Raw genomic sequence first — 25623 nt, forward strand, 5'->3', positions numbered from 1 at the left:
CTTTGCATCATTGGTGGGTGGTGAAGGTGGGCTGGTGTTTTCTGATGCATGTTTTACATTTGCTAATTCCATCTCAGCCACCACACACTGGTCTACCCTGAAGAGGCTTACTGAGAAGAGCTGGCAGAGCCAAGCTTCCCTTCTCTTCAGGGAAAAGATGCCTCTGGTTGGAAGTCTGCCATCACCCTTGTATGGCTTGTGGATCCAGAGCACAGCACACTGGGGTATTAAAATGCCAGTGCCTGCTCCTAACAAAACTGCCTCACCAGCTGGCCAGGATCAGCATGTTTCTCATTCTCTGAGGTTGCCAGCTCAGTGTTTTCCTGCCCTGTGGAATGGTGTTTCTGCAAAACACTCTGGGATAGAGGGTACCATGGGCAGAAAAGTTTGGGAAGTTGTGCGAGCCACATTTCCCTCTTGGAAATGCTCCTTGCAAATTAGCATAATATAACCTCTGAAAAGTAGTCAGAAAGGGATTTGTCATCTCACATCTTGCAAATTTATGTAATCACAGAATATAACTTTTTAAAAAGGCAAAATAGTTATTATCACATGGTTGGTTCCCTCACTTCTCTCTGGTCTCTAATGAAGTGTCATCCCCTCAGAGAGGATCTACCTGGTCCCTTTGGCCAAAACAGGACCTCGTGTCTCTTTGGGTCTTCACCCTGCTTTTTGTTTCCTTATGGCACTTTGACATGTGGCACAATGTTTGTTTTTATGCTTATTTATCTGTTTATCATTTATCTCCCTCTCAGAATGTAAGCTCCATGATGGAAAATTTTCTTTTTCACTGCTATACTTCCAGTTTCGGATACACAGTAAGTGCTAAATAGACGCTGTCGAACAAATGAATATTCCTGCAAAAGAATTTAGCATCCTGGAACTCAGTTTTCATGGATGTCACAAAAATGGTGGTCTTGAATAATTCCTTTGTCTCAGATATAAATTTCTAAGCCAATTGGTGTAACTTTAACTGGGTTGCACAAATTAACATCAGCTCTGTGAAATTAGAAATTAATACAGAAGTGCAGACAACTCTCTAAAATAGCTCATGTTTCCATTGGAAGTAACATCTAGATATCCCTGTCTTTCTCCTCTCATTTAACCAGCACTTACTCTGTGCCAGATATCATGCTAATCATTGGACATATATTTTTCTCAATGAATCCTCACAATGACCTTGTGAGAAAGAGATTATTGTGTTCATTTTGTAGGTGAGGAAGAAGATTCAAAGGATTTAAGCAAATTCCTCAGAAAGAGAATGGGTTTATGGATCCATTTTGGGAGAATTGCCATGATGACAATACTGAGTTTTCCAATCCGTGAACATAGGATGTGTTTTAGTTTATTTAGATCTTCTTTAATTTCTGCTAGCAGTGTTCTGTAGTTGTTAGTATACATGTCTAGCACTTCATTTGTTAAATGTAATATAGTTTATTCTTTATTTTATTTTATTGTGAATGAAATGTTTTTTTGTTTTAAATAGAGACAGGAGCTCCCTATGCTGTGCAGGCTGGTCTCAAGCTCCTGGGCTCAAATCATCCTAGCACCTCAGCCTTTCAAGTAGCTGATACTACAGGTGCACACCACTGCACTGGGCTGGAATGTTTTTTATTATCTTGTTATTTTATTGTGAATGGAATAATTTAACTGAGTAGCGTGTTGTTAACATAAGGAAATACAATTCATTTTTGTCTATTCTTCTTGTATTTTCATTGCTAGCAGTTTTTCTGTGGATTCCTTGAGGGATTTTGTACATAAGGGTTCATGTCATCTCTGAATAAAGGCAATTTTACTGTTTCCTTTCCAATTTGTGTGACTTTGTTTGTTTTGTTTGTTTGCCTTATTGTATTGGTGAAAACTTCCATACAATGGTGAATAGAAATGATGAAAGCAGACATCCTTCCCTTGTTCTTGATCTTAACAGTAAAGCATTCAGTCTTTCACCATTAAGAATGATGGTAGCTATGGCTATTTTATAGATGCCACTCTTTTCCTAATTTGTTGGGATTTTATCAATAATACTAGTTGTTGGATTTTGTCTTGTTTTTTTCCGAGTCTACTGAGATGATTATGTGGGTTTTTTTCTTTTTATATTACTAATATGATGTATTACATTAACTGCTTTTCGTATGCTGAACCAACCTTGCATTCTTGTGACAAAACTCATATGGTCATGATGTATGATCCTTTGAATATGCTGCTGGATTCACTTTGCTAGTATTTTGTTGAGGGGTTTTGCATGTACATTCATAAGAGATAGTAGTCTGTAGTTTTCTTGTGATATTTTTGTCTGGTTTTGGTTTCAGGATAATATTATTATTATAGAATGAGCTAGGAAGTGTTCTCTTCTGTATTTTTAAGAGTTTATGAAAAATTGATATTATTTCTTTAATATGTGATCAAATTCACCAGTGAAGTCATCTGGGTCTGATCTTCATGGGAAAATTTTTCATTTAGTTACATTATGATTGACACAAAGTTTTCATAATATTCCTTTATAATCTTTTTTATTTATGTTAAGACTCTAATAATGGCTCCTCTTTCATTCTTGATTTTGGTAATCTGTGCCTTCTCTCTTTTGTTCTTGGTCAGTCCAGCTAAAGGTTGTCAATTTTGTTGATCTTTTCAAAGAACCAAATTTTGGTTTCATTTTCTCTATTTTTAATCTTTTAAAATGTTACATTTTATCTGATCTTTGTTATTTTCTTTTTTCCTGCTTGTTTGGTTTTTATTTACTCTTCTTAGTTTTGTAGGATCAAAGTTTAGGTTATTGATATAATCACAATGTGAGGCCTTATTAATGCACCCCTTATTCCCTTCAATTTCATACCTGTTATAGGCATTTAAAGCATTAAATTTCTCTCTAAGCACTTTTTTAGCTGCATCTCATAAATTTTGGTATATTATGCTTTCATTTTCAATAAGTTAAAGATATTTTCTAAGTGCCTTTGTGATTTCTTCTTTAACCAATTTGTTATTTAGAAATGTTTAGTTTCCTAAATTTTCCTCTATTGTTGATTTCTAATTTAATTATATTATGATAGAGAACATATTTTGTATAATTTCAATCCTCTTAACCTTATTGAGACTTGTTCTGTGGTCTGTCTTGAAAAATGTTTCATGTGTGTTCAAAAAGAATGTGAATTCTGCTGTTCTTGGGCGAGTGTTCTATAGATATTAAATACTTCAAGTTGGTTGATAATGCTGTGTAAATCCTACTGTTGTGAACACTCTCAAACCCAGGGCCACTTTAAGGATATACCTAATCCCATATTTCTGTCTCTAGACACAAATTATTGAAATTTCTGATTTCAGTCCATTAAATCCAGATGTGGCATGGACCTGCCACCCAAACTTTGGTTTGGGGATTGAGTCTGATGATGCCATAACATACTAAGAGAGTAGAAAAAGGTTTATTACTCTCCAAATGAAGTTTTCTGGAGAGATCAGGAAAGGTTCTCACACTGGTCCCACTCCCCCTCCACTTCTCCCCACCAAAAAAACTGCTTAAGAGAGCAAGCAAAGGAGACTGAGCTGGGGTTTTATGCTGTGATTAAAAGATGGGGACGCAGTGAGGGTTCCCAAGTGTGTAGGCTGGAGCTTGCATGGTATGTATTCTCCAGTTATTGTTATTGAACTGTGTTTTTCTTTTCAATTCTTTAGTTTTTATTTCATGCATTTTGGGCCTGTGTTATAAGGTACACATATAAGTGCTATATTTTCCTTGTGTTTTTTCTCTTATATTATTATGAAATATCCCTCTTTGTCTGTAGTACTATTTGTTGTTGTTGTTGTTAGATACAAGGTCTCACTGTTGGCCAAGCTGGAGTGCAGTGGCATGGTCATAGCTCACTGTAACCTCAAACTCCTGGGCCTGAGTGATCCTCCTGCCTCAGCCTCATGAGTAGCTAGGACTATGGGTACATGCCATGATGCCCAGCTTAGTTCTTGTCTCATAGTCTATTTTTGTGATGTTATTATGGCCACTCTAGCTCTCTTTTGGTCACTGCTTGTAGGGCATATATTTTTTCTTTTCTTTTCTTTCTTCCTTTTTTTTTTTTTTTTTTTTTAGATGGGGTCTCACTCTGTTGCCCAGGCTGGAGTGCAGTGGCGTGATCTCGGCTCACTACAACCTCCAACCTCCGTCTCCTGGGTTCAAGCGATTCTCCTGCCTTAGCCTCCCAAGTAGCTGGGATTACAGGCATGCACCACCATGCCTGGCTACTTTTTATATTTTTATAGAGACAGGGTTTCTCCATGTTGGCCATGCAGGTCTCAAACTCCTGAACTCAGGTGATCCACCCACTTCAGCCTCCCAAAGTGCTGGGATTACAGGCATGAGCCACTGCGCCTGGCCAGCATATCTGTTTTCTATCCTCTATATTTTAACTTATCTGTGTCTTTGAATCTAAGGTGTGTCTTTTAGACAGAGCATGCAATTGAATTGTGCTTTTTTAAAAATAGAATCTGACCATGTCTTCCTTTTGATTGGGATAATTAGACTATTCACTTTTAATGTAATTGTTGATAGGTTGGATTTATATTTGTCATTTCATATTTTTTCTATATATCTCCTATCTTTTTATCCTGTTTTTTCTTTACTTTCTCATTTTGTATTAAATATTTTTGTATACCATTTAACACCTATTTATTTCTTAGTTATTTTCTTGTTGGTAGCTCTAGGATTATAATATGCATGTTAACTTACCACTATGTACTTCATAATACTAACTCCATTCTAGTAAAATATAGAAACTTTGCTTCTATGTAGCCCCATTCCTTCTTTTCCTCCTTTGTGCTGTTATGTATGTGTATGTATGTATATACATACACACATTCACATACATACATACTTATATATGTATATGTATATACACATATAATGTATATATATGTGTATACATATATATATTATATACACACACACACACATATATATTATCAGGTTATAAACCTAATAATATAATGTTGATATTATTGTTTTATGAAATTTTTTATCTTTTTAAGAAGGTAAGAGAAACAAAAATATATAGCGTGAGTGCCATATGGTGCTATATTTTCTTATAGCATTTACAGGTTATTATAAGACTCTCTTAAATTAACTTATGTATTTACTATTTCTGGTGGTTTTCATTTCTTCCTGTGGATTCAAATTACAACCTGGTGTCAATTCCTTTTGGCCCAAAGGACTGTTTGTAGCATCTTGTAAAGCAGATCTTCTAGCCACAAATTCTCTCAGCCTATTTATTATTTATCTAGGAATAGCTTTATTTAGCTTTCATTTATGAAGGACAGTTTTGCTTAATATAGAATACTTTAATAGTTTTTTTCTCATATATTTGTTTTGTTATGTTTTGTTTTGTTTTTTTGAGACGGAGTCTTGCTCCGTTGCCCAGGCTGGAGTGCAGTGGCATGATCTTGGCTCACTGCAACCTCTGCCTCCTGGGTTCAAGTCATTCTCCTGCCTCAGCCTCCTGAGTAGCTGGGATTACAGGCATGAGCCACCATGCCTGGCTAATTTTTGTATTTTTAGTGAAGACGGTTTCACCGTGTTGGTCAGGCTGGTGTCGAACTCCTGACCTTGTGATCCGCTGGCCTTGGCCTCCCATAGTGCTGGGATTATAGGTGTGAGCCACAATGCCCAGCCTTTTTTTCCCAGTATTTTTAATATGTCCTTTTGGTCTTCATTATTTTAGATGAAAATCAGGAATTAAAAGTATTGTACTTCCCTGTACAAAGTGAATCATTTTTCTCTTTCTGCTTTTAAGATTTTCTTTGTCTTTGAACACTTTGACTATGATATGCTTAGATGTGGATCTTTTTGTATTTATCCTACTTGAAATTTGTTGTGCCTCTGTGCTATCTTAATTTTTTTCTCGAAGTTGGAGTTTTCTACCATTATTTCTTTTTTATCATCTTTGCAGATTTATTTCTGTGCACATATACATATACAAATATTTTTACAAGAATAGGGTCATACCATGAATACCACATATAATGGTATCTCGATTGTCAATATAGGTGTGTATAATTAAGACTGTGTAGCCTTCCACTGTGGATGTACCAAAATGTATTTAATTCCCTGTCACTGGACACTTTTGTTTCACTAATATGAAGACACTGTGTAAGCAATGTCTCAACATCTCTGCACCTCTATTTTTGGTATAAGTATTTCCTTAGGATGACGTCCCAGAAATGGAATTGCAAGGTATAAAAGATTATTAACTTTTTTTAAGGCTCTAAGATGCCTTTACAGTGTATCTGTTACATCCTGCTTCCACACAAATTATTCTGTATAGCCGGTATGCAGCTCTCAGCCCAGGTGAAGACAGCCAGGATGCCCCAGTCAATGCTCTCGCTCAGTCTGTCAGCCTTCAGGTAGTTTAGGAGCTGAGGCATAACCTGGAATTCAAACATTTTCTTGGCATCACAAAGGATATTCTCTGGAATATCCTTTTCTTGAGGAATATTTTCACTAGAATCCAGGTGGGGGCAATACCTCTGCCATATCTGAGAATCTGTTCTGGTTCAAGGGCTATCTGAGTTTTGAACTTCTGAAAAATTTTATCTTCCCTGGATTCATGTTTTGCCATGGAATCCAGTTCTTCTTCAAGTGCCTCACCCATGCTCCCTATAATCTCTGAGTAATCTTCCTTTTCCACAACCTCAGGTGTAATCTTCATCTTCTGTTTCTACTACAACTGCAAATTCTGGAAAAAGGAAGTCGTGGTCTGGAATTATATGGTCCAAATGATCTGGTTCTGTACAAGCCTGCTTATGTGCCAATCTCCGGTCTAGGGTCTTGATGCTCCTTGCTGCAGTAATACGCTTTGTGGCATCTGGAGCACGTTTTGGGTCCTAAACAACCACAAACTCTGCAGAGATGAGCACCAGACTCAAGTTAGAGACACACTGATTGTCCTGTTTCTGGGAGAGGATTCTCAGAAGGTGGCCTATATGAGGAAAAATCATTTTTCCTGGGTAGCTGATTGGTAAAAACTCGCAGGCCGGCACAGCACGGCGGCTCTCAGCAGCAGAAGAGGAAGATTCCGGGGTGGAAGGCGTCGGCGCGGCGGGGCAGCAGCGCGTACACCTGTAGCAGGAAGGAGAGCTGGCAGCCGCACAGCGCGCAGGCCAGGGTCCGGGTCCCGGCAGCCCGGCCGCGCCCGGCCACGCCCAGCCACGCTGGCCGCCCGCCCCTCTAACATTAGTTCTTCAAATTTTTTCTTCCTTTTTCTTCTCTCCTCTCATTCTGGGACTACCATTGTATGTGTGCTGATATACTTGATGTTGTCCCAAAAGTCTTTAAGGCTCTATTCATTTTTCTTCAATTTTTATCTTCAAGTTCACTGATTCATTCCTTTGCCATCTTGAATCTTCTGTTAAAGTCCTCTAGATGAATTTCTCATTTCAGTTATTATATCTTCAACTCCAGAATTTCTCTTTGGTTCTTTTCAATAATTCCTGTCTGTTTATTGAGATTGTCTATTTGTTGATTCAATGTTTCCATACTTTCCTTTAATTTTTTAAATGTGATTTTTTTTAGCCCTTTGAACATATTTAAATAGCTGCTTTGATGTCTGTCTGATAAACCTAGAATCACTCAGAGGGAGTTTCTATCATTTCCCCTTTTTCTTTAGCATGAGTCATACTTTCTTTGCATGTCTCATTTTTGTTGGTGGTGTTTTTGAAAACTGAGGATTCTAGTTATATATTGTAGCAACTCTGGATTCTGTATTTCCCCCCCGAAGGTTTGTTCTTTTTAAAATTTGTTCATTGTTTAGTAACCTACCTGAGTTAAATCTATCTCCCCAGTGATATGGAGCTGCTGATATCTCTGCCCAGATTTTTTTTTAATTCTTGTTTTCCTTTTTAAGACTGACTTCTTAAGGCTCATCCCTGTGTCTGTGTAGCCCACTAGTCAGCTAATGATAGGACAGAGGTTGTGCTGAAGTGCCTCAAGCAAGTAAGGATTCTGTCTTGTGCTGAAATCTGTGTGTGGGTAAGGGAATAGATTCAAAGTTTAAGCCACTGTTAAGTCGACTCCAGCATTTTAATTTCAGCTAGGCCCTTCTGGGTCTCCTGTGCACATGTGTCCAGCCTCAGGGTCAGCCAGGATTGTGTATACAGTTTGTACTCTCTTTGGTCTCGGCTGCTCATATGCGCACCCTCAGCCAGGAATATGCTTGCCTTAACCATGACTGTAATCTCAGACAAGAAGAGCCATTGGCCCTCCCTCCTCACTTGATGCCAGGATAATCACTTTCACCAGTGCTGCTGGATATGGGTACCTATTGCTCCAAATTGAATAAGTGTAGCTGTCTGTCCTCATGGACCTGCCATATCCTGACAGAATCTCAGCACCAACTAAGCTGGGAAGAAGGTGGAAGTTAGGATCAGCCCCAGGTAAAGACACCACACTTCCACTGTTCTTACCCAAAGTTCAATAGTTTTTCAAACATAAATGCTTCTGGAATTGTTGTGTGCCATTAGTTGATTTCAAGAGGAGTGAAAGGGTTGTTTTATCAATTTTGTCCAGCTTTATGGGTATTTTTTGGGGAAAATATTTGCTGGTCTCCTTACTAGACCGTAGCCAGAAGTTTGAAATTTCAGGCTATAATTTTATACCCAGGTTAACTAACTCTGGTCATGTGTTCTTACTATGCCGTGTGGCCTCCCTTATGTTGCTTTAGCATCTGAAAATTTACAAAGTTTTTTTTCACAAGTATTACCTAGTACCCGGGACAATTCCATAACATTTTTGTTTCTGTTTTTGTTTTTTCTAGTTTTAGAGCTGAAGCTATTGAAGTATAAGAGATACTGGAGATAAATATTTACAAAGAGAAAACTTGAGTTTGGAGAGAAGGACATTAATCAAGAATGTAAAACGAATCAACGACTGTGCCAGAATAGGAACCTAGGTCTTCCATTTCCCAGCTGAGGGTCTTTGTGCATCACCCACTTGCTTTCTTTTGGAAGAGGACTGGGGATAAAAATATTCCTCATCCCTCCTCCACCCCACCTCCATCATGACCTTACTGGTATGAGGAAAAAGCCCAAGTCAAAGGGCAATAGACCATTGGCACTCCCTGCCCCTAGAGGGTGCTACTCTTTCTATAACATGGACACAGGTTGCCTAGAAAGGTGATTTAAGTGTGAAAGCATTTTTGATTATGGCAATTGCATACATTCTTTCAATCGAATTCTAGCTGGATTAACCTGTCTTTAGTATATGGCTATGAATAATTTATATTATTATCTTTCATAATATAATTCTGTTTAAAGTGTCCATTAACATTGCTTTTTCTCAGGGACTTTCCCTCAACTCCTGAGTTTTAGTTGTAGTTTGTAGCAGCCTGTTGAAGCATTCATGAGTGAGGATTTAATCAGGCAATTTTTGCAAAAATGATCAGTTTTCAATGAAAGGAGATGACAAAATATTATAGTATTAAAATAAGTAGATATCTGTGTATCGTAGTTACAAAATGAAAAATAAAAATCCTTCCAAACTGCTCTGAAATTCCTCCTGCTTCATAAATATGGGCTTTCTGATTCTTCTAGGGGGCAGATTTCTTTGTTTTGCTGCAATTTTTTTTGACGGGGAAACTTATTCTTTTTGTTTAAGTACAAATGTCAAGTTCAAAATGGAATGTGTGGTGGACATTCTCTGGTTGCCCCCTAGACTCTCTGCCCTTCTCTGCCTTACTCTGTGCCCAAAGAGGTGACCTCTAAGGACTGTAACAATTAGCTCCCCTGCCCTTTGGCTTCTGGATGATTTGACCAATGAAGGTACCAGCAGGAAAACAGCATAGGAGGAGAGAGAGATCTGTGGATTTGCTCCCCTAGCTCTCTTGCTGCTAGCCGTGGTTTGGCAGTGCCCTGATGCCTCCCCTAAAGACACAGGTCCTGTTGGGGGCCTTCTCCTACAGCTACAGGTCTCGTCAGGTCCAGGTAAGTGCTCTTTCCCTCTACCTGTTCTGGCCCAGGGTGGAAATGGCTTTGTACTGTTGCTAGTCCTTGGTGCTTGATCGGCCTCTGTTGCTTTGCCCTAGTCCTGCTCTCAGGTCTGTAAATAAACACTTGATGAACTTGCATACCTTTCATCCTGTTTGAGTGCTGGGAACTGCTAGACTCAGCCTGATACAGCAAGCTAGCATTTGGAGAGAAAAAAAAAAGAAGAGGGCCCAAGAGGGTGTCCTGAGACCAGCTTTGGTCTTAGCTCAGGCACTATTTTGCCATATGACCTTGAGTAAGTCCTTTCTTCTCTCTGACTTTCAAATGGCTCATCTGTAAAAAGAGCAGCTGGGCCAGGCGCAGTGGCTCATGCCTATAATCCCAGCATTCTGAGAGGCTGAGGTGGGCAGATCACCTGAGCTCAGGAGTTTGAGACCAACCAGTTTGAGGTCAACATGGTGAAACCCCATCTCTACTAAAACTACAAAAATTAGCCGGGTGTGGAGACACACTTGTAGTCCCAGCTACTCGGGAGGCTGAGGCAGGAGAATCGCTTGAACACGGGAGGTGGAGGTTGCTGTGAGCTGAGATCTTGCCACTGCACTCTAGCCTGGGTGACAGAGTGAGACTCCATCTAAAAAAAAAAAAAAAGCAGTTGGACAAAACCAGAGGCCTTTGCACAGTTTTTTGCTCATGTGCCACCGAACGCATTCTGAAAAAATACACAATCAAATATTTTTTAAATTTTTCCTCATGGTTTTAAATAGTTGTAAAGGGTGTAACATCCTATGTATTGTAAATATTAATGTTTAAAATTAAACTGCTAACATCACTCCTTTAAATATATCCAATGGAATTTAAATATCACAGTAATTTTATACCCACCATCATCCATTGAAAAATTGATGAACAAACTCTCCTTTAACAGTTAGAAATTTTACAATGTTCCTCTTCCTCTTTTAAGTCATTATTTCCATTCTACTTCCCCCATAGAATTTTATAGGAATGTCATATCTTTTTTCTGCTGGTAAGTCTCATATGGATCATCATGTCATAGTGTCTAAATCAAAAATATGTTTGTAGGCAAAATTTTCAGAATTTTTATATTTCCTGGGATAATAAGGCTTTAAGGGTTAAACATTTCTCTGAATTGAGATATCAATGCAATAAATTTTGGGATACAACTGATTAAAATTTAGATAATTGTTAAACAGAAAATGTAAAATTAATGGGAATTCATCTCTCACTGAGATGACTGGGGAAGGGTCTGGGGAGTCTTGATTAAAAGAACGTTTACTTTCCAACATTTGCCCTCAGCCCTCTGTTTGGTGCTCTCTCTCCCCCCACCCCCAACTCAGGTTTTTTTCCTCTCCAGGCAATGTCTCGTGGTAAGGTTTGGGATGGATAAGACATACACCTTTACTGTATCAAAGGGGAGAAGGGTAGCTGAGAAAGGGAAGGTGAGAAAGGAAATCCAGGTTCACATCTTCACATGGGAGTTCTCAGGCCGGTCAGTTTTTTTGTTTGTTTGTTTTTGTTTTGTGTGTGTGTGTGTATGTTTTGAGACAGAGTCTTTCTCTATCACCCAGGCTGAAGTGCAATGGCACGATCTTGGTTCACTGCAACCTCTGCCTCCTGGGTTCAAGCAATTCTCCTGCCTCAGCCTCCTGAGTAGCTGGGATTACAGGCATGTGGCACCATACCCTGCTATTTTTTTTCCTTTTTTTTTTTTTTCCTTTAAGTTCTGGGATAAATGTGCAGAACGTGGAGGTTTGTTACATAAGTATACCTGTGCGGTGGTGGTTTGCTGCACCTATTAACCCGTCATCCAGGTTTTAAGTCCCACATGCATTAGGTATTTGTCCTAATGCTACCCCTCCCCTATGCCCCCACCCCCTGACAGGTCCCATTGTGTGGTGGTCCCCTCCCTGTGTCCATGTGTTCTCATTGTTCAACTCCCACTTATGAGTGAGAACATGCGGTGTTTGGTTTTCTCTTCTTGTGTTACTTTGCTGAGAATGATGGCTTCCAGCTTCATCCATGTCCCTGCCAAGGACATGAACTCATCGTTTTTTATGGCTGCGTAGTATTCCATGGCGTATATGTGCCACATTTTCTTTATCCAGTCTATCATTGATGGGTATTTGGGTTGGTTCCAAGTCCTTGCTATTGTAAATAGTGCTGCAATAAACATACGTGTGCATGTGTCTTTATAGTGGAATGATTTATAATCCTTTGGGTGTATACCCAGTAATGGGATTGCTGGGTCAAATGGTATTTCTGGTTCTAGATCCTTGAGGAATCACCACACTGTCTTCCACAATGGTTGAATTAATTTACACTCCCACCAACAGTGTAAAAGCATTCTTATTTCTCCACAGCCTCTCTAGCATCTGTTGTTTCCCGACTTTTTAATAATTGCCATTCTAACTGGTGTGAGATCACAGCCAGCTAATTTTTGTATTTTTAGTAGAGACAGGGTTTCACAATGTTGGCCAGGCTGGTCTCTAACTCCTAAGTTCAGGTGCTCCACCTGCCTCGCCATCCCGAAGTGTGGGATTATAGGCATGAGCCACCACGCCTGGCCTAAGGCAGGTAAGTTTTAGGAAATTGTACACATGGAAGCTGAGAATCTAGAAATGGAGTATCTTAAAACTGTGTGTGGTGACTCTACCTTGGAAATTGTAAACCCTGTGGATAAGCCCCCTAATCTTGAAGGCCACTGGGCTTGGTGGTGTCTGAAGGGCACCCCTGAACGGGTAGCTTCACAGAGTCATGTCTCAGAGGGCCAGTTCTGGAGTTAGACTGATGCCCTGAATGACTTGGGCAACTTCCTTCACAGAAACTTCGTGCCTCAGTTTCCAGTTCTGGAGTTAGATTGATGTGCTGTATGACTTGGATAACTTCCTTCACTGAAGCTTCGTGCCTCAGTTTCCTTATGTGTAAAATGGAGATATATACAGCTCTACCTTATAGGGGATTCTTTAGGAGTTAAGTGAGATATTGTTTATGAAGCACCTGGTATATGGCAAATGCTCAAAACAGATTCAAAGGATTCAAAAGATTCCTCCCAACTCTAACACACTCTGGGAAGGGGCCCAGGGATCCCTGAATCACCTGTTCCTCCATCGAAGTCGTATTTTAAGGCAATGAGCTGCCATTATAAACATCTTGGTGTCCCTGTAACGAAAAGCAGAGTACTCCAGAATCTTTGGCTCCTTTTTTTTCATTTGGTGTTTTGTTTTTGGTTTTGGTAAATTTTACTGTCTACTGAGGCTTTTCTGATTTTTCAACATTTATCCACAGGTCTTGACATTTACCATCTCAGGGAGGTTGATATTTCCACTGATTCATGCGGTAGAAGCAATGGCTCATGGATCTCTAAGTCTGGAGACCAGCTTGGCTGTCTTAACAGGGCTCCCCCATTTCTCAGAGAAAGAATTATAACCAGGCTATATGTGCAGGCTGTGTGAGCCCAGAAAATGACAGTTACTGCTTTCCAGGAATGGGAATAAACAGATATTCACTGTACTCTCCTGGAAAAACTGAGGTTGCCTAGGGGTCAGTTTTGAATCAGGCAATCCAATATTTGAGCTTTTTGCCAGAGAAACAAAATGAGACATTGATATGCTAAGAAGTTGCTAACTGAGTCAGTTTTGCTGGCGGCCTGCTCTGATGTAACTTCTGTGCTAACGTTATTGCTTAGACACCAGGCCCACACAATGGCTACCCTGCTGACTGCCACTTTGCCACCAGAATGCGGGGCCTCCCTGACACATCAGCAGGCTGAGTTCTGAATTCTCAGTTTCATTTCCTACTGATACAGTAGAATGCCGCTGTGTTCCTTTTATAAAGAAACCATTGGTTTATATTGCCCCTTATTTGGGTATGTTCATTACCATCTCTCAGAGCACAGTTTTAATTTACAGAATCTTGGCAGCTTTATCTAAATGATTTCTTATTTTGAAATTTAATTTTATTCTGATATTTTTGAGAAGAATGAAAATCGGTGATGAGTGTGGTAGATTGAATGTATTCATGGTCCCAGTTCTGTATCTCTTCCTGTATTCATGCCTGATACCATGTCATTGTGGGTATTCTACCAATCTGACTCAGGGTCAGCTATGGGACTTGTCTTTACCAATGGGATGCTAGCAAATGTGATTTAAACAGAGATTGAAAAGTGTCTGCACAATTGAGCTTGTCTGCTTTTGTTCTTCTGCCATTACCAAGTGCAGGTGCCTGTGCTAGCCTGCTGGAGGTTGAGAGACATGTGGACCAGAATCAAGTGGCCCTACTTGTCCCGGTCAAACTAGATTAGCTAAGAACCAGCTAAGCCCAGATATGTAAGCAAGCCCTGCTAAGACAGAAAGAACCTTTCAACAGATCTGTGGACTCGTGAACCAAATTCTTGCTCATTATTTGAAGCCACTGAGTTTTGGGGTTGTTTGTTATATAGCATTGTTGTGATAACAGATAGTGGCTTAGAATACGCAGTGGCAGACCTGCCCTTCCAGAGCAGAATCCAAGGGAACACTGCCCATGCGCAAGACCTCCCAGGGACTCTGGAAACAGTGATAAACAGAGAAGGAGGGAACCTCACTAAGGAGACTCAAACACTTCCACCGTGTAGGTAGGGGATCCACATCAGTGAGATTCAGCAGAGTAACGTAAATAGAAGTACAGGCTCCAGAGTTGGGCTCCTGGGTCCAAAACCCAGATTCATTTATGAGCTTCATGTTCTTCAGCAAGTTACTTTACCTTTTTGTGTCTCCATTTCCTCCCTTGTAAAACAGATAGATACGTCATAAGGTTGTTAGAAGGATTAGATTTAAAAATTTTTTTCAATTTATTTTTAATAACATGTATATATATTTATGGTATACAGCATGATATTTTGAAATGATGTGGAGTGGCTAAATTGATCTATTTAACATATGCATTATCTCACATGCTTTTTTTGTGGTGAGAATACTTAAAATCTACTCTCTTGGTGATTTTCTTACCACATTTTCTTTATCCATTCATTTGTTGATGGACAGTTAGGTTGATTCCATATCCTGGTTATTATGGATAATGCAGCAGTGAACATGGAAGTGCAGATACCTCTTTGACATACTAATTTCATTTCTTTTGGATCTATGTCCAGTTGTGGGATTGCTAGATCATATGATAGTTCTATTATTAATTTTTTGATAAATCTCCATACTGTTTTCCATAATGGCTGTACTGATTTACATTCCCTCCAACAGTGTACCAGGGTTTCTTTTTCTCCACATTCTCACCAACACTTATCTTTCATTTTTGTTTTTATAGTAGCCATTCTAATAAATGTGAGGTGATATCTCATTCTGGTTTTAAGTTGCATTTCCCTGATGATTAGTGATGTCGAGTATTTTTTCATGGACCTGTTGCCCATTTGTGGGTCTTCTTTTGAGAAATGCCTAGGTCCTTTGCTCTTTTTTTTTTTCCTTTTTTTTTCTTTTGAGACAGAGTCTTGCTCTGGCGCCCAGGCTGGAGTGCAGTGGCGTGATCTCAGCTCATTGCAACCTCCACCTCCCAGGTTCAAGTGATTCTTCTGTCTCAGCCTGCCAAGTAGCTGGGACTACAGGCGCGTGCCACGACACCTGGCTAATTTTTTGTATTTTTAGTACAGACGGGTTTTCACTGTGTTGGCCAGGATGGTCTCGATCTCCTGACCTCGTGATCTGCCTGCCTCAGCCTCCCGAAGTGCTGGGATTACAGGTGTGAGCCACTGTGCCCAGCCCCCTTGCTCATTTTTTAATAGGGTTATTTATTTTATAGCTATTGAGTTATTTGAGTTCCTTACATATCTGGGGTATTAACCCCTCATTGGATGTTTGGTTTGTAAATATTTTCTCCTATTTTTTAGGTTATCATCATTCTGATGATTGTTTCCTTTGCTGTGAAGGAACTTTTAGTTTGATGTCATCCCATTTGTCTATTTTTGCTTTTGTTGCCTATGCTTTTGGTTTCATATCCCCAAAAAATTATTATCCAGACCAATGTCATGGAATGTTTCTTGTTTTCTTCTAGTAGTCTTACAGTTTCAGGTCTACTTTTAAATGTTTAATCTATTCTGAGTTGATTTTTGCATACGGTGTGAGATAAGGGTCTCATGTCCTTACGTATGTGGATATCCATTTTCCTGACACCATTTGTTGAAGAGACTGTCCTTTCCCCATTGTGTGTTCTTCGCATCTTGGTCAAACATCAGTTGATCTTAATGCACTTGGAATGGCTCAGTGCAAGCCCTAGGTAAGTCTTTGTTAAATAAATAAATAAAGTGTGACCTCATTTCTATCCACAGGCTGATCAAGACTGGGGGACGTCTGGATTACATTTGTCTTTTGGTAGGAAGGATATATTTGCATCATGGAGGGGCTGTTTCTCATTTCATGTAGTCAAACATTGACTTCTGAAGAACTGAATGCATAGTCAATAGCTTTCAAAAATCTGGGGAAAGACAATGTTTTCCTTTTGAAAACTCATGCTATTGTATCAATATCCTGGGCTCAGTTAATTCATCTTAATATGTTTGGGGGCAGTGCTCAATGTGAGATTTCAGGAAAGGCAGGGGGAATAATGTTATCCATTCTTTAAGAGGCAGGGAAGGGTACACTACATTTCAGAAAGATATCCATTCCAAATTACTGAAATAAAAGTTTTGATGCTTAGAGAGGTAATCCTCAACTACTTGAAAAAACTCAGCTAAAAATATTTCTTTCTTTGAAGAATCTCCAAAGCCATGACTGTATTGCATTATTATTATTATTATTTTGAGACAGAGTCTCGCTCTGTTGCTAAGGCTGGAGGGCAGTGATCTCAGCTCACTGCAACCTCCATTTCCCGGGTTCGTGTGATTCTCCTGCCTCAGCCTCCCAAGTAGCTGGGATTACAGGCACATGCCACCATACCCAGCTAATTTTTGTATTTTTGGTAGAGACGGGGTTTCACCATGTTGGCCAGACTGGTCTCCAACTCCTGACCTCAGGTGATCCACTCGCCTTGGCCTCCCAAAGTATTGGGATTATAGGCATCAGCCACCGCACCAGACTCCATTATTTTTAAAAGTAACAGATACAAGTCAAAATCTCATTGTCCTGCTATGGGAGGGAAGGCACAAGGAGTGTGTGTGTGTACATGTGTGTGCAGAGAGGTCCTTTCTCCTGAATAAGAGTCTCTGCTGTCCCAGAGAGAAAAATGAGATTGTGCGATTTGAACAAGAGCTTAACCTCCATCCTCCTGCTGAGTTCTCTGACCACGCTTTTCTCCCTCCATCCCTCCCCTCCTTCTCCCCAGTAGACATAGGTCCTTAACCAGAGCCTTTTGGGAACAGGTAGAAGGTAGAGAGATTTGAATTGAGTAAAATTGGAAGAATGTAACCATCCCCATGTACCTAGATAATGGAAAGAGGAGTAGCCATTGTCTAGAACTTAATTAAATCCTTGTAAGCAATAACATGAAATCTTTAATAGGAGCTCTAAATTGCTAAGAAATTTACTGTTGGTGGGCAACCAGGGGCAAGACTACACCCTTGGCACAAGAGTTGACAAAAGGTCCATGGAAACTGCCTGGATGCTCTTAAGGAACACGAAGGACCTGAAGACCCAGCTGTGATGTTAGCTACTGGGGGGTCACTTATGTCATGGATCATGAAAAGGTCATATTTAACGTACAGTTTTAAATTGAGACGGCACTTTGGGAGGCCGAGGTGAGCAGATCATCTGAGGTCAGGAGTTCGAGACCAGCCTGGCCAACATGGTGAAACCCTGTCTGTACTAAAAATACAAAAAAAAAAAAAAAATTACCTGGGCCTGGTGGCGGGTGCCTGTAATCCCAGCTATTCGGGAGACTGAGGCAGGAGAATCACTTGAACCTGGGAGGCAGAGGTTGCAGTGAATGGAGACTGCGCCATTGCACTCCAGCCTGGGCAACAAGAGTGAAACTCCATTTCATACAAAACAACAAAAAAAGAGACTCTCTGGTTCATTCTTTATAGCTGTCTTAAAAACTACCCCAAAATATAGTGGCTTTAAATAATAACCATTTTATTATGCTTCTGAATTCTTGGCCAGGAATTTGGACAGGGTGTGGAGGAGCTGACTTGTCTCTGCTCCACAATGTTTGGGACCAGGGGACTTAATGGCTGGGAGGTGAGTCAAAAGCTGAGGACTAGAATGATCTGGAATATCTTCACTCACTGAGTGCCTTAGCAGGGAGGACTCAAAGACTAAGACTGTGAATTAGTTCTCTAATTAGTAGCAAATTATCACACACGATGATTTAGAACAATACACATTTATTATCCCACAATTTGGATGGGGAGGACTCTGCTCATGAGGTTGCAATCAAGGGCTAGTGTTTCATTGCAGGCTCAACAGGAGAAGGATATGCTTCTAAGCTCACTTACATAGTTGTGGGCAGGATTCAGTTCCTTTTGGGTTGCTGGACTGAGGGTTAAGGTTCCTGGTTGCCTGTTGGGCAGAGGCTGTCCTCAGTTCCTTGACATGTGGAACTCCCATGTATGGCCACTTGTTTCATCAAAAGTGGCAAGACAGAGTCCACTAGGCAGATGGGAGGGATAATCTCATGTAACATAGTCACAAAAGGGACATCCCCTCACCTTAACAGTATTCCACTGATTAGAAGCAAGTTACGGTCTCACCCTCACTAAGAGGAGAGGATTATGCAAGGGTGAATACCAGGAGATGAGGATAAGGGGAGGGGGGCATCTTAGAGTCCTTCTGCCACAGATGCCCATCAGAGTGGCTACACGTGGCCTCTCAACATGGCTTAGCTTCCTCACAACATGGCAGCCTCAGGGAAGTTGGATTCTTATAGAACAGCTCAGGGATCCAAGTATGAGCAATCTAATGAAAAAAGTGGAAGCAACATTGTCTTTTCCTAGACTTCCACAGTCTAGGAAGTTAATCCTTATCACTTCCACAGTGGTCTATGGGTTGAAGCAGTTGCAGGTCCATCCAAATTCAAGTGGAGGAGAATTAGATTGCAGCCCTTGAGGAAGAAAGACGAGGTTACATTGTAGGAGCATGTGGAATGGCTGATGTTGTCCCAGCTATCTTTGTTCTCTGCCAGTCAACTTTATGTGGACAATAAAAGGATGACACAATAAAAGGAAGTATGACCTGCTAAGGTTGACTATATAAATGATTACTCAAACAATGACACTATGGATAGTGAAAGGGGTGCTATTAGTAAATACGCTGAGACAATAGGCATAAACCAGAACTGGCCAGGGCAAACTAGGATGCCTGGTTAGCCTAGATCTGCCAATATTCTATCTGTTCCCACAGGCTGTGTGGGAGTAGTGTCACTTTATCAGGTGGACTTAGCTTGGGAATCCCAAGTGTTATCCAGCAGGGATAAGCACAGTGGTTCTTCACAACAGTGGGGCTAAGAGCACTGTGGAGAAGCCCATTATGAGAAGGAACATGCAGTCAGGAAGGTGACTGAGGAGGAATGCAAGACAAATACTTTTTCAGTTACAAGCAACAGAGTCTTTCCTTAAATTATTTTAACACAAGCAAAACAAAACAAAGCAAGCAAAAAGAATATGGATTGACTCACATAACTAAAAAGTTCAAAGGAACTACAGCTTCAGGTCTGGCTGGATCTAGGGGTTCTAACCATGTCATTGGGACTGTGTCTTCCCATAGCTGGGTCTGCTTTCCTCTGTGTCAGCTGAATTCAGGCAAGCTCTTTCCACATGGCACCGTTTGGCTCCCCTAAACTTAAACTATATCCTCACAGTCATCTCAAAGGAAAGGAAAACTTTCCATTCAAACTCTTAAATCTGGATCTCATTGGCTTGGCCTGTCATATGACCATCTTGCCAAGTCAATGGCATATATGAATGGCCTGGCCTGGGTCATTTGCTGATGGCACTCAGGGGTAGAGCAAGTCCACCCAGAACACATAGACTGAGCATGAGAGAAGGCTTTTTCTCTAAGAAAAATTGAGACACTGTCACCAGAACAGGGGGAATGGAGAACAGATGCCCTCTATAGCCCTCTTTCCCAATAAACTAAAAAAGAGGGTAACTTTCAAGGAGGAAGAGAGAAATCCACCTTTAGATAATAATTGCCCAGACGCTAGACCTGGCCAATTCTGGCATTTACTTCTCATGCCAGCACTAGGAAGTCAGTAAAATTAGTTGTCTCATCACCCTTTGACAGGTGCAGAAAATGCAGCATATTCGCAGAGGAAGAGGGTAGATGTATCAGTTATCTATTGCCACAATAACGCTGTGTAACAAACCACCTCCAAAACTCAGTTACAAAAAACAATAAGCATTTACTTAGCTCTTGAGTCTGTGGGTTGGAGATTTAATCTGGATAGTTCCTCTAGTCTCCTTTGAGCTCTCTCACTCTCTGGGGGTAGCTGGCTCTTGGTGAAGGGGTCACACATGTGGTGATCAGCTAGAATAACTCTGTTTCACTTTTCTCTCCTATTCTTCCAGCAGACTAGCTTGGGTATACAGTTGTCCCTGGGTATTCATGAAGAATTGGTTCCAGGACCTCCACAGAAAACAAAATCTACAGATGCTCAAGGCCCTTATATAAAATGTTGTCATATTTGCCTATAACCTATGCACATCCTCCTGTAAATTTTAAATCGTTTCCAGATTACTTACAATACCTAACACAATGTAATGCTATGTAAGTAGCTGTTATTCTATATTGTTTAGGGAATAATGACAAGAAAAAAATCTGTACGTGCCCCATACAGATGCAAACATCATAGGCCTAACTATATTTTCAATCCATGGTTGGTTGAATCTACAAATGTGGAACCCATGGATACGAGGCCAACTGTATTCTCACGGTGAAGGCATAAGTGCACGAGCAAGTGCAAATTCAGTTGCACAAGCACTTTTATTTTTATTTGGTTATTTTTTTGGAGATGGAGTCTCATGCTGTCGCCCAGGCTGGAGTGCAGTGGTGTGATCACAGCTCACTGCAGCCTCAAGCTCTCGGGCTAAAGTCATCTTTCCACCTCAGCCTCCTGAGTAGCCGGGACCACAGGTGTGCACCCCTATGCCTGGCTAATTTTTAATTTTTTTGTAGAGACAGGGTCTCACCCTGTTGCCCAGGCTGGTCTTGAACTCCTGGCCTCAAGCAATTCTCTTGCCTTGGTCTCTCAAAGTGTTGAGATTACAAGTGTGAGCCACTGTGCTTGACCTGCACAAGCACTTTTAAAGTCTCTTCTTATGTGAAATTGGCTAACATCCCACTGTCCAAAGTCACATGGCCAAACTGGGATTCAAGGAACGGGAAATAGAGTCTATGTTTTTAGTGAGAACTGCAAAGTCACATGACAAAAAGGGCTAGATTCCAGGAGGTGTGCAGAATCGGTGCCTTTAATGCAGTCAATTTCCCACAAAACAAAGAGGGTAGGGTAACTTCTTATGGCTCTTTAAGGTTGCTAAAGATAGATGTATGGATTTTGTTTCTCAACAGAGTTAGCATGAAATTCAGAAAGGATCAATCATCATTCTACCTCTTTTAAAGCAGCTTTTAAAAACAGGCTTTCTTTAGCCACTGTAGAAAATGTTATGGTGATTCCTCAAAAAATTAGAAATAGAATGACTGTAAGATCCCACAACTCAACTTCTGAGTATCTACCCAAAAGAATTGAAAGCAGAGAACTGAACAGATACTTATACATGAATATTCATAGCAACATTATTCACAATAGGTAAAAGGTAGAAGCAACCCAAGTATCCATCAATGGATGAATGGATAAATGACATGGGGTATAGCCATACAATGAAATATTATTCAGCCTTAAAAAGGAATGAAAGTCTGCCAGGCGCAGTGGCTCACGCCTGTAATCCCAGCACTTTGGGAGGCCGAGGCAGGTGGATCACGAAGTCAGGAGATCGAGACCATCCTGGCTAAAACGGTGAAACCCTGTCTCTACTAAAAATACAAAAAATTAGGTGGGCATGGTGGCAGGCGCCTGTAGTCCCAGCTACGCGGGAGGCTGAGGCAGAAGAATGGCGTGAACCCGGGAGGCGGAGCTTGCAGTGAGCCGAGATCATGCCACTGCACTCCAGCCTGGGTGACAGAGCGAGACTCCGTCTCAAAAAAAAAAAGGGAATGAAATTCTGATACACACTACAACATGAATGAATCTTTAAGATTCACTGTGCTAGTGAAATGAGCCAGATACAAAAGGACAAATATGGTGTGGTTCCCCTTATATGAGAGTGCTTAGAATAGTCAAATTCATAGAGTGATAGAAAGTAGTACAGTGGTTGCGAGGGGCAGGTAGGAGGAATGGGAAGTTAGTGTTTAATAGGTGTAGCATTTCCGTTTGGGATGATGAAAAATTATGAAGATGAATAGTGGTGATGGTTACACAACAGTGTGAATGCACTTTGTATCACTGAACTGTACACTTACAATGTTTAAAATGGTAAATTTTATGTATATATATTCTTGCACAATTTTTTTTTTTTATTTCGAGACAGAGTTCCGCTCTTGTTGCCCAAGCTGGAGTGCAGTGGCACGATCTCGGCTCACTGCAACCTCTGCCTCCCGGGTTCTCCTGCCTCAGCCTCCCTAGTAGCTGGGATGACAGGCGCCTGCCACCACACCCAGCTACTTTTTTGTATTTTTAGTAGAGACGGGGTTTCACCACATTGGCCAGGCGGGTCTCGAACTGCTGACCTCAGGTGATCTGCCCACCTCAACCTCCCAAAGTGTTGGGATTACAGGTGTGAGCCATCGTGCCCGGTCTCACAATTTTCTTTAAAGTTCCTTCTCTTGATGTTGCTATTCAAAGTTTTGGTTGCGCCAACAATCAATCAACTAATATTGTTTTGCTGCCTTACCTAATAATTGTAGAGAGCTGTGCTGGCCAGAAAGAAATCATTTGCTTAGTCCCTTTCTTCAATGACCTCACAGTTAAGTTGGGAAAATGGAATGTTAAAATAGAATAGCAAGGCCCAAAGAGTTTAAGAACCAATAACACAAGGCAAGGTGGTAACCACACCAAGTGATGGGCCAGTGACTACCACAGAACCTGAGAGGCAGGGAGCTTTTAAAATTTCAAATATCCAGATTCCGCCTGGATCAGAATCTTGAGATTGAAGAGAAGCTGGAAAACTTGTACTTTTCAAAAGCTCCCAGGAAATTCAGATGCCTAGCCAGGGTTAGAGAATCCCTCTAAACTATACACAACAAAGTTAATTTTACGGGGGGAAAAACCTGTTTGAAGAATTACAGCTTACTGGGAACACTGGAAATTGCAAAACTTAAAATAACTTTTACCTGGTAGAAATAAGCAACAGAAAATAAAACACAAAGACTAACACTGCGTCCAGTAAATATTGACTAAACATGGATGGGAAGACCCTACATCTGCATGACAAAATTGAGATCATAAAATTTGCCTAGGAAAATTGGACCTCATGGGAATAACAGCTACAAAAGAACATATTCATGTTACGAAGAAAGATAATCAGCAAATTTTGATGTTGACAAGCCACTGATCAATGAATCAAATTTTTTTCCGTTGAATATACAATGAAAAGATTCCATTCCAATGAAAATAGTTTCAGTGTAGGCTTCTAGCTTTTTCAAACATATTAAATATTTCACTTTTGTTAACTTGTTATTTTGAAATAATTTCAAAATTATAGAACAGTTGCAAGAATAGGACAAAGACCTTTTGCATACCCTTTGTTCAAATTTGCCAATTCATATTCAGTCACATATAATTGCTTTATCTTATATATATAATATATGTATGCATACAGACATATACATATGTATATATATTTTTCGAGAGTTGCAGATAATCATGTGCCTTTCCATCAAAAGTGTGTACTTTCTAAGAGTGAGAAGATTTTACACAACCAGAAAATGATGATCAATCCAGAAATTTAAAATGAATACATACTATTCTCTAATATACAACTATATTCAAATTTCACCAATTGTCCCCAAAATGTCCTTTATAGTAATTTTTTTCCCACTCTGATCCAGGAGCCAAAAAAAAAAAATGGTTCAAGATCACTTTTTGCATTTAGTTGTCATACTTATCTCTTTAGTCTCCTTTAATTTGAAACAGTTCCTTGGTCTTTCTTTGTCTTTCATAACATTGACATTTTTGCAGAATACAGGCCAGTTGTTCTGTAGAATGTCCCTTGATCTGGATTTGTCTGATGTTTCCTCATGATTAGATTTGGGTTATGCATTTTTGGCAGGAATTCTGTGTAAGCACTGTTGGTTGTCGGTGCATCCCATCAAGAGTCACATGCTGGCAGTTTGTCCAATTACTGGTGAAAGAAACATTCCATTTTACTTTTCTATGCCTCACTCCCCTCATCTGCTAATGGAGATAACTGAGGGACATAGTTGGATGGCTTCATGGCTGAGCTGTCATTCCAGACATGCCCCGCCCACTGGATAGTTTTGCAGATGGAAGCCGTTGAGATCATCATCATCATTAATATCATCATCTCGACTATCTAGGATACCTACTGTGTGCTGACATTATTGCTTTTTCTAACCCTCATGTAAAACATGCACGTCTGTGTTATCATCCCCATTTAACAGTTAAGGAAACTGGGGCTCAGAGACAGTGGTGTGATGTGCTCAGGAAAACACGGCTGGAAAGGGACTCAACTGGGATTGGAACCCAGTTGGGTCTGAGTCCAGACAGAGCCTGAGCCCTGTACTATGACACATTGTAATTGCATTCACAAGTGTGTTTCTCAGCAGAAAGGATGGATTATTAAAGCCTCCTTTGGGAGCACCAGATGGTGAAGGAGGAAACGAGGTGGACAAGCTCTTGCCATCTTTATTCCTTTTCTTTTTTTCTCATGGCCTGGGCCCATCTCCATTCTGAGATCCAGCTGAATTAAAATCAGGACTACTGCCATAGTGGGGGGCACTGCCAACTGGATTTGGGGAAGCTGCCTTCAAAGCTGACTTTGCTCCATTCTCGGCTGTCTAGCCCTGCTCAAATGAGGTGACTCCACCCTCATCCCATCCCGGAGCCTGAGTTTCCTTATACATGTTGAGGTCGATACGGGCTGGAAATGGTAATCATAATTGCCATGCATTGAGTGCATAACATGAATTAAGGCTTTAAATAACTCTGTGGTGTTACGTACCTTATTTTGCCCAATTTTACAGATGAGAAAAACTGAGGTTTTTATAGTGGCTAATGTTACAATCTGCACAGGTCTAAGTGCAGAGACTAGATGAGATCTTTACTAGGATGCCAGGCTTTCTCTAGGCTTCATGGGCTGGCAGGTTCCATGGAACAGGTTTATGAAACATAAGGAGCATTTATTGTTGACTCCTGGGACAGGCTACATAGATTTTTGCCTCAATGCTGATTCTTTATCTGGGCGATCACTTTGATCTCTTTCTTTCTTTTTTTGGAGACAGAGTCTCGCTCTGTCGCCAGGCTGGAGTGCAGTGGCACGATCTCGGCTCACTGCAACCTCCGCCTCCCGGGTTCAAGCAATTCTCCTGCCTCACCCTCCCGAGTAGCTGGGACTACAGGCGAGCGCCACCATGCGCAGCTAATTTTTGTACTTTTAGTAGAGATGGGGTTTCACCATGTTGGCCAGAATGGTCTCGATCTCTTGACCTCATGATC

At 40.6% G+C, this 25623-nt stretch overlaps 1 pseudogene, besides 1 other annotated feature; it reads right to left on the reverse strand.

The window, feature by feature from the left end:
• On the reverse strand, window positions 6403-7202 carry PDCD2P1 (PDCD2 pseudogene 1; annotated as a pseudogene).
• Window positions 13595-13664: an enhancer, noted in NCBI's record as "active region_28854". NCBI's record gives its function as "activates an Ori minimal core promoter by ATAC-STARR-seq in GM12878 lymphoblastoid cells {active_cell/tissue: GM12878}" and the evidence as "EXISTENCE:reporter gene assay evidence [ECO:0000049][PMID:35858748]".

Source organism: Homo sapiens, chromosome 9 (genome assembly GCF_000001405.40).
Source record: "Homo sapiens chromosome 9, GRCh38.p14 Primary Assembly".
NCBI classification, from domain to species: Eukaryota; Metazoa; Chordata; class Mammalia; order Primates; family Hominidae; genus Homo; species Homo sapiens.